Here is a 12460-nt window from a genome sequence, read left to right as displayed (position 1 = left end):
ACAAATTTTTCGTGCACCTCAAACTAGCTTTGAAGGTAGCTATGAAAAACCATCAGCATTATTAGAATTAGTACGTGGCCTTACCTGAATGTATACTAATATAACGCTTTAATGTTTGTGAAGTTTTAATGTATTTGATTTAATCCTCACAGTAACCCTGCAGTTTTAGCTCTAGATTACAAAAGAGCTGAGACTCAGAAATATTATGTTCCTAGCTCCCCCTGAGGTTGCAGAGTCTACGCCCAAATCCAGTAAAATTTCCACCATGCTACAATGTCACCCAAGGCGGTCTCCTAAAATGACTCCCCTAAAGATGGTAAGTTCCTAGATGATTTTTGTTTCGGTCCCACTGCAGAATCTTTGCCAACAGGAGAGTCAGGACAGGACCATGCTGTGCTGTTCCTCAATGGTGGCTGAAACACAGGGGCAGGTGGCACAGGCCACAGTCCTGCCCCTACACTCTGCTTCTCTTAAAAGAGCTCCTACAAGGCCGGGCGTGGTGGCTCACACCTGTAATCCCAGCACTTTGGGAGGCCAAGGCAGGCGGATAAGTTAAACTCGGGAGTTCGGAACCAGCCTGGCCAACATGGCGAAACTCGGTCTCTACTAAAAATACAAAAATTAGCTGGGCATGGTAGCAGGCACCTGTAGTCCCAGCTACTTCGGGACCTGAGGTGGGAGGATCGCTTCAACTTGGGAGGTGGAGGTTGCAGTCAGCCGAGATGGTGCCACTGCACTCTGGCCTGGGTGACAGAGTGAGACCCTGGCTCAAAAAAAAAAAAAAAAAAGGTAACAGCTGCTACAGCTTAACATAGAGCATCAGCTCTGCTCCCCTGCATGGTCACAGTTAATGTCACAAAACTGTATACTAACCAAGAAATTCCCCAATTCCTACCTGACAGACATACAAAAACAATACAGACACAAGAAATGGTGAACTGCTTAATGCATACCTATTAGATAGAGAGTAAAGGAAATGAACCGGTGGTATTTACTGAGAATCCGCAAAGGCTCTTCTCTCTGGACCAGGGTGAAGAAGTAATCCGTCACTGTCTCACCATAGAAGAAATAGTTTACACACAGGAGAAAGTACCTGTAAATGAAGACAGGTCATTGCCGTGGGGAGCACCCTTGCCTTCACAGCAAGGCAGTCAGACATCCCAGAGGAAGGGACAGAGGGCAGCAGAATACCCCCCACCCTTGAGTCCCCCGGGACAGCTCACAGAGCAACAGGCAGACCATGGTTTCCTGCTCTCTGGTGACACCGTAGGTGAGAAATTTATCTAGAAACAGACAGCAGCTTTCATTCACTCTCCATTTCTCCCAAACTTGAGACTCCGTTTTTGCCCCTTTTGTAGCATTCCCATACCTAACTGAGGGATCCTTGAACCATATGACCTTCAAAAACACGCCTCATCCTGCTTCCCCAGTCTCGTTTCCACTCTTCCCAACAGGAACTCCTTCACTCCTATCAAAATGGTTTCTTCCGGCTTTGCCACACCTGTCTGCTGTTCTCCTGCCTTTTTCCTGCTCCTGACATTCTCTTTGCTTCTCCATTTCTTCACTCCTTGCTCAAATGCCATTTTATTCATAAAACTTTGCATGACCTAACATGACATCTGCCTCCCCTGCATTTATTTCTATAGCAAGTAATATGTGATTATCTGACTAAGCAATTAATGATGCATCTGCCTCTCTGAAGCCTGGCTCTGACAAACAGACCTTCCATTAGCGTTAACTCTTCACTTGTGTATTCTCTCTCCTCAACTGGCGTTCATGAGAAGAGAAGCCATCCCTTGCAGCCTCCACAGTACTGCTGAGTATGGCACCATGCAGCCATCACTGCAAACCCCCAGCAAGGATCCTGAGATAGAGAAGAAAGTGGAGAGCTTTTCTTTCCCATTCTTTTTTTTAAATTATGAAGTACAAAAACTCCCATATTGGGTTTCTTTTCTGTTACATGGAAAAAACTTTCTTTGTAAAGTGACCACAGCCAGGAGTCAGGCCTCCTGAGTATGTTAACAAAATGCAAAACACTGCTTTCCAGCTAAAGAACAGCCACAAAAGGGACCTGCATCTTAAGCCAGGTGGCAATCCCAATTCCATCTGGAGGCTGGGAGGCAGCCTGTCTGTTGGGTGACAGGAAACACCTCAGGAAGGGGGTGCCCAGCCTACATCTGAGCACATCGGCTTCCTTGACAGTGACCAGGTTGCTGGGGCAAAAACCACTGCTCTCCAGCCGGCTAAGTCATGGCTTCAACCCCTGTATCCCTGCACAGTGGGGTGAGAAGGTCCACATTTGCCCCAGGTCCTCTCAGCATGGTGCAGTGCTCTGCTCAAAAGTCACCACCTGAGAATACTACGGCCAATAAAGCAGAGTTTCAGATCAGAAAGGGGTCTCAGACATGTGTTACAGGTTTTTCTTTTTGCTTTAAGAAAGCTGAATCCTTTCCCAGGAAACGGAGAAAGCCAACTTTCCCAGCGGAGCCCAGATCCCATGCATTCAGCCTCACTCCTGCCCACTCTGGCACTCAAAACACCTCTGATGAAGTAGGGCTCAAACACCACAGTCTGGAAACCAGTAAGTCTCAACCATCTGTCTTAGAGATAAGGAAACCAAGTTCCAAGGATAACAAGCAAAGCCGGCAGCAGAACCTAACAACTTCCAGACAACTCTAGTGGGATGCTGAGATATGACGGCATGAAAAATATACTGATCTAGAAAAACGGGATCATCATGCAGAGTTTAAGGAATCCAAATAGCGAGGCAAACACAGTCACAGAATGCAGCCCATCTGGTTTCTTCTCAGGAAGATTCCAGACTTCAAGTAACTATAAGACTCCTGCAAGGCCAACCACACAGTCTGGCCTATGAAATACTCAGGTCTCAAAGGCACTGTGCGAGTCTGTGGCAATCACCTCTTTTCTCCTGCCTTTTTCTCTTAACTTTCTCTTAACATTCTCCTAACATTCTCTTACCCATTTCTTCACTTATTGCTCAAATACCATTTTCTTCATGAAACTTTGTATGACCTAACATGATAACTGCCTCTCCAGCATTTATCTCTATAGCAAGTGATAGAAATACCCACCGTCACTGTAAGTACCTGCCACAAAGCACATCATCCAAATTCTAAAAGCCTCTGTGGGGCCGGAGAGCTTACCAGCTGAGCGTCCTGAACCAGGGCAGATCATATGAGTGGTAGACGTTGTAGCCAATAGTGATTATCTCATGGAAACACTTAATCTGAACGCACATCACCTGCGGGACACAAAACATTCACTGACACCCCAATTCTTATGATTTTTGGAAATGGAAACCAACAGGTCATGAGCCTTCCAGAAAACCCATTATACTTAAGAAAAATATCGGGCCTCCAGTGGTTCTGCTTCCCTCCTTCTTCCTCTCTCATACCATCCCACAGAGCAATGCAGCCCTCTATGTCACAGGGAGTAGATCCAATTTTCCACTCACAATAAAATACACACCCTGATGTTTCAATTAACTTTTTTTTTTTTAAGACAGGGTTTCACCGTGTTGCCCAGGCTGGTCTTGAACTCCTGGGCTCAAGCAATCCACCTGCCTCAGCCTCCAAAAGTGCTAGGATTACAGGCGTGAGCCACCGCACCCAGCCAAAAGGATTTTTTTTTTAAGTAGAGACGAGGTTTCACCTTCTTTCCCAGGCTGGTCTCGAACTCCTGGGCTCAAGTGATCCTCCCGCCTTGGCCTCTCAAAGTGCTGGGATTATAGGCGTGAGCCGCCATGCCTGACCCTCAATTAACTTTATTCTAAAACCTCCTTTTTAACTTTTTATTCTAGAACCTCCCAGGATTCAACCAATCCATTCTCCTTTTGACTCTGAATACTTGAAAAGTCTCAAGTATTCAAAGTCAAATGCTTTGCTCACATGCAGCTGATGGTCACCTGACCCTGTCCAGGACAGTGGGAAGACAGACAGAGCAGCTCTGTGGACTGGGATTTCCTTAACAAAAGCTCTAAGCCCAGAAGGGAGGCCCCAGGAAAACAGGAAACGAAACCAGGAGTCATATAGAGACATGCCCAGGGTAAAAGTTTACAGAGTTGGAATAATAAAGTCAGTTTTGTTTGTTTGTTTGTTTGTTTTGAGATGGAGTCTCACTCTGTCACCCAGGCTGGAGTGCAGTGGCATGATCTCGGCTCACTGCAACCTCTGCCTCCCAGGTTCAAGGGATTCTCCTGCCTCAGCCCCCTGAGTAGCTGGGATTACAGGCGCGTGCCACCACGCGTGGCTAATTTTTGTATTTTTAGTAGAGACAGGGTTTCACCATGTTGGTCAGGCTGGTCTCAAACTCCTGACCTCGTGATCCGCCCACCTCAGCCTCACAAAGTGCTGGGATCACAGGCAATAAAGTCAGTTTTTTAAAAGAAAAGACACTGAGACATCTTCAACCATAAACAACCAGCCTACACCAATGACCCTCCAGGTGGCTACTGAGAAGTGGGAAGTCACAGATGTTCTATGGCAGAGGTTTTCTGAGAAGCCTGGACCCCCGTCAATTCCCACAACCAACCCAACACCTCGCACTTAAGACAACCGGGCCTGCAGCAAAAACTGAAGGGAAAACTAAAATAGTGTGAAATGGCACTTACGATTATCATCAAAACCATTGGTCCCAGGTAAATGATGATGAAGAAAAATGCAATCATGGCCAAAGTCAGGATGCCTCTCACCCACCAGTTCTTCCATCTAGGTCAGAGAGCAGGGGAAGGAGAAAACACCAGTTAGGAGCCCAGAAAAAAACCAATGCACAAACTCAAGGGATATGGATCTTCCTGAGATGAGGGCCCTGAGCTCAGTCCTTTCCAGATTCACCGTGACGGAGGCACCAGCCACATGCTGGCAGGAGCAGGACCACTAGTACCAATGCCTAAGTCACAACCAAACTTGGCAAAAAATAAACCTAGCTTATATCTTAAAGAAGGTATCAGGCAAAACACAAACAAACAAAAAAACCAAGGGAAATGTAGTGCCCTCTGCTTCTGTATCCACTTGGATGGTTTCTACAGCTGACTATCTGAAGAAAAAAATATTTTTTTCCAGCAGCAGGATCCTACACTGCACTGCCCTGAATAATTATGGGAATAATAGTAACATTATGCAATGATAATAACAGCTACCATAAATATGCATAATTTTTTTTTTTTTTTTGAGACAGAGTTTCCTCTGTAGCCCAGGTTGGAGTGCAGTGGCACAATCTCAGCTCACTGCAAGCTCCGCCCAGGTTCATGCCATTCTCTTGCCTCAGCCTCCCGAGTAGCTGGGACTACAGGCGCCTGCCACCACACCCAGCTAATTTTTTTGTATTTTTAGTAGAGACGGGGTTTCACCATGGTCTCGATCTCCTGACCTCCTGATCCACCCGCCTCGGCCTCCCAAAGTGCTGGAATTACAGGCGTGAGCCACCATACCCGGCCTGAGTAAGGTAATTTTATGAGGACTTTACATATATTAACTCCTTCAATCCTCAACACACTTCGCTTTTACAGATGAGGAAATGGAGGCACAGGTCAAACAGCTGGCAAACAGTAAAGCTGGGATCTGAATCCAAGGGTCTGGCTGCAAAGTCCACGCCCTTAACCACTGCACAATTCAGACTCCCAAGGGGACAGTTGGAGGCACACATAGGAACACTGAGATAATGCTTTGGGGTCTTATAATGTGTTTTTGATCTACTCACATAGCTGTGTTAAAAGAACCAGGTTCTCAAGGGCCAAAAGTTTTAACACTAGATTCACCTAGGTTAAGATGTTTCCCAGTTCTTCCTGGAGAATTTAAGGAACTGTTCACAAAGGATGTGAGAGAAACTAAACTCTGAACTGGAAACGTGGACTCCTCAGTGAAAAGCAGCCTGCCCATTAATCGCAAACCCAAGGCTGGTTTCCTGTGCTGTGCAGTGTCAGCTGACCTCACCCACCTCCATCCCTCCTGTCCCCTCTTCCTCTTTGAACTGCACTTCCTAGTCCAGTCTGAAGCACCCTTCCGGGGCCAGATCCTTCCAGCCTTGGTTGCCCTCCCCTCCTGGTCACTGTGCTCACTGCCACTGCTAAGCACTAGATTACACTCAATGGAGCCTGGAGCAGTGGCATGGGAGGCTGAGGCAAGACAGCGGGCCTGCTCTGCAAGACCACGGGCTCTCTGCAGGCTCTTCCAGGGCACTTGGACATGGTGCAAAGCCCCCAACAAGCACCTGCATCATTAAGCCAGGTTACCTTGAAGACAAGTTGGAAAGGGCCCTATTGAGGACCTCCGGGGTATCATCTGCAGAGACTGGCAGGGGTGCGGATTCTGCCCGGCTCTCACTGTCCGATGCAGTCTCTCCATCTACCTTTGCTTCTGACTCTGACTCCTAAGTGGCAGAAATACAGAAGAGAAAAAGGTCAAAAGTGCCGAGTAGACCATTGAGAAGTCTATGCCTGTCATGAGAGATCTGTGGGGAAAGACTCCAAACAGGGCCTAAGAACCTGGCACAGTCAGGTGATGGGACTGACAGGACTAGCAGCAATCCTGACACTGTTGTGACATGTGCCAAGGTGGCCAGCCACACTCTGCTGGAAGAGAGGTGTGCATCTGCACCGCGTACCATCTGCTTAACCGCAGAGGGCAGATCCAAAAGAGAGAGAACATGGCTCCTTTGTATCCAAAGAATGCAAAAGGGAGGCTGGGACCGGTTTTAACAGGAGGTTATCCCTGAGCCTGCTAGGGCAGCCAATGGCACTGACCAGGCTCTCTCAGGGGAAGCCAGGTGGTGAGGCTGTTGCCCCTGTAGACCTGTTAATGTCAACATGTCCCAAGTCCAGAGTGTTATTTCCGGACTTCACTAGAGCACTCTGTGAGGAGGTCAATCACAGTCAGTGTGGACAACGAACCAGACAGCCTACTCCAGACAACGCTCGAGCCAGGACTGGTGCACCTCAGTCCTTTCCCTGCCACCAGGCCCTGGGTGACAAAAGACCCACAGGAAGTCACCCTGCTCCCAGCCTGGGTGAGGGAACCAGAGCCATGCCAGCAGCAAGCTCTTTACCCAAAGTATCAAGGGACAGGCTATTCTGAATCCTAGGAACCATCCTACCACTCAAGTATTTTCTTTCATAGGGGAATTCAGAATAGTTGCTATGAGAAGAGGTGGAGGAGAAAGTAAATCACTTAGAGTAACAACACTACTTAGTATCTGTATAGCCCTGCAAGGTCTGAAGAGCCTTTCCCATGCAAGCTTCAGAGCAGTACTGGGAGGAAGGGAAGGGACAGGAGAAGCCCCATTTACAAATAAGAAACGGGATCTGGGAAGTTCAATGCGTGGCCCAATGTCTCATATTAACCCAGGTCCTCTGACTTCCCTGATGACTGATGAATACACGGAATTGTGACTGTCTCACATGTTCACTGGCCACTTGGTATCTTCTGTCAAGTGTCTGTCAAATCACTGGCTAGTTTTTCTACGGAGTTTTCTGCCTTCCTTTTTTTATTGATTTGTAGTGGTTTATGTGCTCCAGATTTGAGTACTTTGTGTTACTAATATGTTCTCTCAGACTGCTCTAACCCCCACCTTCACCTCAGGCGAGGTTAGACACCCCAGTGATTTGCTCTCTTAACACTAGAACCTTCTCCCTCTCAGCGCTGACCACAACGGGGACTTTTGTAAATGTCTCCTTGGCTGACGACAAACTCCTTAAAGACAAGAACATAACTTCTTGTTCTCATTATCCCCATGCACGGCACACAGCAAAACACTTACTAATGGATGGAAGAAGAGAAGAATTAGGTCCAGGTGTGTAAAGAAAAACCCAGCCCCTGCCCTCAGGGAGACAGCTCTTTCTAAATTAATTTACAACTGTGACAAGACAGAGGGCCTTAACTAGTGCAGATGAGCAAAACAGAAAAACAAAACAGATTAGCAACACAGAGGGCCTCGCCTAGTGCAGACTGCTGATAAAAAAGAGACAGCTGGCTTTGGTAAAGGCCCAATAAAGACGGCCTCATCATTAGGATCCAAGGGAGAGAGCCACAGCTTCTGAAGACACAGACTGCTCCCTACTCTGCCACAGTCGAGACAGGTGGCTCTGGATAAGTCACCCAAGTGCCTCTGTACTTTGGCGTCTTCACCTTATATAAGGTAAGGACCCTCCTTCCCATGGGGATTCCTTGAAGCGACATAACCAAACTCTCACCCAGGGCTGTGTCCCAGTACACCACTCCAGAGTTTCTGAAACACAGTAAGGTCTCCAGAGTCGTCCCTCTCCAGGGAGACTAAATGAAGACAAAGCATTCACAACAGCTGTCCAATCTTTATTTCAACATTGACACCCACACACCATCGGCAACCACCAGTTGCCAGTAATATTACGGTAATCATTGCGAGTTACAAGGTAATGATGCTGCCTGATCACCTGGCTTTGACCTCTAAAACCTCGGGGCTTCAAAATGCTAGCACCTGGACCCCACTGAGGCTCCCACAGATGCATTCAGGAGCCTCTAGAAGCTGCAGGGACTGCGCTCCAGAGCAGCAGGGGAGAGGGCACTCACACACAGAAAGCCCGGCACAAGGTTATTTTTAACTTATCCATCCTGTTGTCAAGGAGACTCACAAAGGCTGCTAGTTCCCCAGGCAGGGAAGGACAGGAACGGAACCCAGGCAGCGTCCTGCGAGGGAGGAGCAGGCAGCTCCAGCTCCGTGCTAAGAGCCTCTCTGGACCTTCCGTTAGCCCAGCACTGCATCCTGCAACACTGTCAGACCTGACTCCTTCCTTGTAGGAAGGGGTGAAGTGAAGAGGGGTATCCAGAGGCAGAGAGTAGTAAAAGGAGATAGAGAACTGTTACAAAGATATCGCAACTATTGTTACCAAGACCTCAGGCGGACTGAGCTGAACAACTAAGAAATGAAGTATGTGTCGAGGAATTTATCCATTTCTTCTAGATTTTCTAGTTTATTTGCGTAGAGGTGTTTATAGTACTCTCTGATGGTAGTTTGTATTTCTGTGGGATCGGTGGTGATATCCCCTTTGTCATTTTTTACTGCGTCTATTTGATTCTTCTCTCTTTTCTTCTTTATTAGCCTTGCTAGCAGTCTATCAATTTTGTTGATCTTTTCAAAAAACCACTGAACAAACAAGCCTGAAAGAGATTAACTTTCTAGGTTTTTGCTACCTTTAAGTGAGTAACTCCAGGTTCCCTGGGCCTCAGCCGGGCCTACTGAGGAAGCATCCTCTGAGCAGGAAACCAACACCAACCTACAGACCACTCTCTCCCACATGCTGAGACAGGGCCGAACAGGTGCCAACGGCAAATCCCTGTGAGCGGGGAAACTGCACAGCCTGGGGAAGACACAGAGGAGGAGGGGGACAGGTCAGCCAGCCACCTGGCTCCTGATGTCCTGTGGACGCCAAAGGGAACAGAAACCTGAGAGAAAGAACCTGGAGGCCTGCAGTCTTCCAGCTCCTCCCCACCCCGTGGACAAAGGCATTCTGCTTGGAGACACAGTTGCTCATACCCCGGAAAAGGAAGCTGAGTGCCAGCGGCAGCTTCCACAGAGGGTCTGGAAGCAGGCAGGGACCTGGAACCCATGCTCCTTCCCACAAGAAAGGTGGTACATGCTGAACACATTCATCAGTTTGCTCCTCTGGGCACAGCGAGGTGGGGAGATGTCAAGAAAAACTTTCTGCAGAATAAGGCAGTGGCCAGTCCAGGAAAGCAAGGCCCAGGGCCAGCTCTGACACTCATGACACACAGCACAGGCCTCCATCCTCTGGTCTTCAGCGGCGAAGGAATCCCTGTCTCGGAAGGTTGTTGGGATGACCAATGCGACCCCGATGAAAGGCTATGAAAACTATAAAGTACTGAATAGCAGCAGGTGCCTGCCGCACTCCCCTGAGTAGCCTGACCACAGCACACAGGACAGAAGCACGAGACCCTAAAACACCCACCCCAGACAAGCTGGGCACCCTTCCCAAGGAGAGCATCAGGCCTTGCTGGGGCCAAGTGCTAATAAATGATCTGGGCACAGCATTTGCCTACCTTGCTTCAAGCTCTTTCACACTGGTAGCCCCGACTCAAAACTGTGTAAGGTGGTGTCTGAAACACAAAAGCTACCCATTAAAGCAACAGTCCATGCTAGTAGACTCTGAAGCTGAACCATCTGCCAAAGTGTGGGAGGAAATCTTAGAACTCATCTCTACTTACCTCATTCTTCTTTTCTTTCCCATGTATGCTTTGTAATGGGCATTATCAAGACATATGCATATGTTCATGAGTGTAAACTGGGAACATGGTAAAAACACCATATACATGTCAGACACGGCAGTGTGTCAGAGGCCAGGAGTTACCTGTTCACCACTGCACTGAGCAGTGCCTGGAACATAGCAGGTGCCCCAAGATTTGTTGAACTAATGAGCTAATTAATTCTACTTGACCTATGATGGACCAAAGTGTCCAGACTACACTGAGATATGATAGTACCCACTTTCCTGCTCATGTGCCTGACTGGTGCCCCTGCAGCAGCCCTGGCAGCAGGACCAGACCAGCATCCACTCCTGCCTCACTCCTGGTGGGTACTGAGACCAGCACAGCAGGGAGAGGCTGCCCTGCCTCTTCTGACTCATATCCACCCAGCTCCCAGGCACCCCTCCTCCTTCCTTCCCTTTCAATCCCGAGGGCCGGGAACAGAGGCCAGGTGGGGCAGACCCTCTCAGGTTCTCTCTCAACCACCGCCTCCCACAGTTCCTCAGCCATTTCCCAAGGGGGTTGTAGTGCTGGTATAAACAGGAAACAAGAGTGCTGCTTTAAAGGAAGGGGGAAGCTCCTCTGAGGGTCCACCCCTTTTGGTTTACACAGACCCTCTAGAGAAAGGCAGAAGCACTTAGGATGAAGGACACATGGAGTGTCCTGTGTACCAGGGGCTCAGTTAAGAGCCATTAGCATTTTTGGAGAAACTCATGCTCAGAAAGCTTCTCCACCAACTGCCCAGAAGCTTCCCCACACCCAGCACTGACCCAAAGATCAGAACATAACAGAAGCAAGAGAAGGCAGTGAGGGAGGGCCAGAGGGAGCAGTGGGCAGGAGGGGATGTTCCTTGTGGTTAAGGTCTGGCTTTTCCTGGGGAGGGACCTAGCTCAGTCCAGAACAGCATTTGTGGAACTCATTTTCACTATCAACTCTCTGGGAAGAAAACCCTGCTGTTTGGGTTTCCTGCCAGCCTGGTGGGAGGCTTCCTGGACAGCATCCTTCTGAGGCTCCCTTTCGGTCTTCACTTGGTGCCAGGGGCCCACCCTCCTACCTGGATATTTCTCAAGACTCTGACACCCAAAGTAGTGATGGTCAGTGTTTGACCCAAAAAAGTGTGGCTGTGCCCATGGCTAGAGAGAATCCCTTGGGCACTGTGTCAGGCTCCACACCGGTGGAACCTATCCTACCCTATACCCCATTTCTTTTTTTTTTTTCTTTTCTTTTTTTTTTTTTTTTGGGGGGACAGAGTCTTGCTCTGTCATCCAGGCTGGAGTGCAGTGGCACAATCTTGGCTCACTGCAGCCTCCACCTCCCGGGTTCAAGCGATTCTCCTGCCTCAGCCTCCCAAGTAGCTAGGATTACAAGTGCCCGCCAACACGCCCAGATAATTTTTATATTTTTAGTAGAGATGGGGTTTTGCCACATTGGCCAGGCTGGTCTTGAACTCCTGACCTCAGGTGATCCACCTGCCTCGGCCTCCCAAAGTGCTGGGAATACAGGCGTGAGCTACCGTACCCAGCTCCATACTCTATTTCTTTACCAGATAATGACTCAGCTCTGGACTACACTAAAGAAAACATATTAATATTCTGTTCATATTTGCCTAAGAGGAACTAAAAACTAGGGAAAGAAAATAAGCAGTACCATCATTCAGCTTTTCTTCTCTTTTTCTTTCTTCTTCAAGGAAATTTCATTAAAAGGCAGACTTCAAGGCACTGGTGGGTTATGCCTCCAACAACTCTGCCTTTCCCACTGACACTGCATTCAAATTCACAAGTTTCACTGACTAACTTCATAACCTACACAATTTTTTGCACTGCTTTATATGCAAATTATCAACTTTCTCCTGGAGGAAAGTCATTAGTCTAAGCCTAACTTTTCTGCTGAATACCATGGCCTCCATCTTCTAGATCAAGCCCTGTGACCAGCTGCCAGGGAGGGCAACTCCCCACTCACACAGGATCCTAGGAGAGAAATTACCAGAGATGGGTTTATCCTTAATAAGCATCCTTAATAAGTGTCAGGGACTTAGGTGGCCCTCTCAATGAAAAAGCCAAGTAGGCTTTCATCTGAGTTCCTACTGAAAAAAAATATACATATATACATATATATACATATATCTGGCCAGTGTGTGACAGCATCCATTTGTGTGTGTATATTGTTGGGAATAACAAAGAAATACTTTTAGCCCTAATACTAACTCC

General features: G+C 48.0%; 1 protein-coding gene across 2 annotated transcripts in view, besides 5 other annotated features; it reads right to left on the bottom strand.

The window, feature by feature from the left end:
- CDS2 (CDP-diacylglycerol synthase 2) overlaps positions 1–12460 on the bottom strand; it is a 70880-nt gene that overhangs the window by 17978 nt on the left and 40442 nt on the right. For both annotated transcript variants that reach the window (NM_003818.4, XM_006723660.3), the window contains exons 2-5: positions 6251–6387; positions 4631–4727; positions 3165–3262; positions 954–1093 (exon numbers count right to left, since the gene is read on the bottom strand). In NM_003818.4, coding sequence (NP_003809.1) covers positions 954–1093; positions 3165–3262; positions 4631–4727; positions 6251–6387 — 472 coding nt within the window. The remainder of the gene's footprint in view (positions 1–953; positions 1094–3164; positions 3263–4630; positions 4728–6250; positions 6388–12460) is intronic.
- Positions 3614–4249: an enhancer, noted in NCBI's record as "NANOG-H3K27ac hESC enhancer chr20:5156307-5156942 (GRCh37/hg19 assembly coordinates)". NCBI's record gives its function as "activates a minimal SCP1, AML or CMV promoter by ChIP-STARR-seq in naive and primed H9 embryonic stem cells {active_cell/tissue: H9 hESC(naive and primed)}" and the evidence as "EXISTENCE:reporter gene assay evidence [ECO:0000049][PMID:30033119]".
- Positions 6673–6967: an enhancer, noted in NCBI's record as "tiled region #2649; HepG2 Activating DNase matched - State 5:Enh". NCBI's record gives its function as "activates a minimal TATA promoter and a strong SV40 promoter by Sharpr-MPRA in HepG2 cells {active_cell/tissue: HepG2}" and the evidence as "EXISTENCE:reporter gene assay evidence [ECO:0000049][PMID:27701403]".
- Positions 6673–6967: a silencer, noted in NCBI's record as "tiled region #2649; K562 Repressive non-DNase unmatched - State 23:Low". NCBI's record gives its function as "represses a minimal TATA promoter and a strong SV40 promoter by Sharpr-MPRA in K562 cells {active_cell/tissue: K562}" and the evidence as "EXISTENCE:reporter gene assay evidence [ECO:0000049][PMID:27701403]".
- Positions 7610–7749: an enhancer, noted in NCBI's record as "active region_17515". NCBI's record gives its function as "activates an Ori minimal core promoter by ATAC-STARR-seq in GM12878 lymphoblastoid cells {active_cell/tissue: GM12878}" and the evidence as "EXISTENCE:reporter gene assay evidence [ECO:0000049][PMID:35858748]".
- Positions 9118–9617: an enhancer, noted in NCBI's record as "H3K4me1 hESC enhancer chr20:5150939-5151438 (GRCh37/hg19 assembly coordinates)". NCBI's record gives its function as "activates a minimal SCP1, AML or CMV promoter by ChIP-STARR-seq in primed H9 embryonic stem cells {active_cell/tissue: H9 hESC(primed)}" and the evidence as "EXISTENCE:reporter gene assay evidence [ECO:0000049][PMID:30033119]".

Source organism: Homo sapiens, chromosome 20 (genome assembly GCF_000001405.40).
Source record: "Homo sapiens chromosome 20, GRCh38.p14 Primary Assembly".
NCBI lineage: Eukaryota > Metazoa > Chordata > Mammalia > Primates > Hominidae > Homo > Homo sapiens.
The sequence above is the reverse complement of the archived record's forward strand: the minus strand, read 5'-3'. Positions and strand labels throughout refer to the sequence as shown.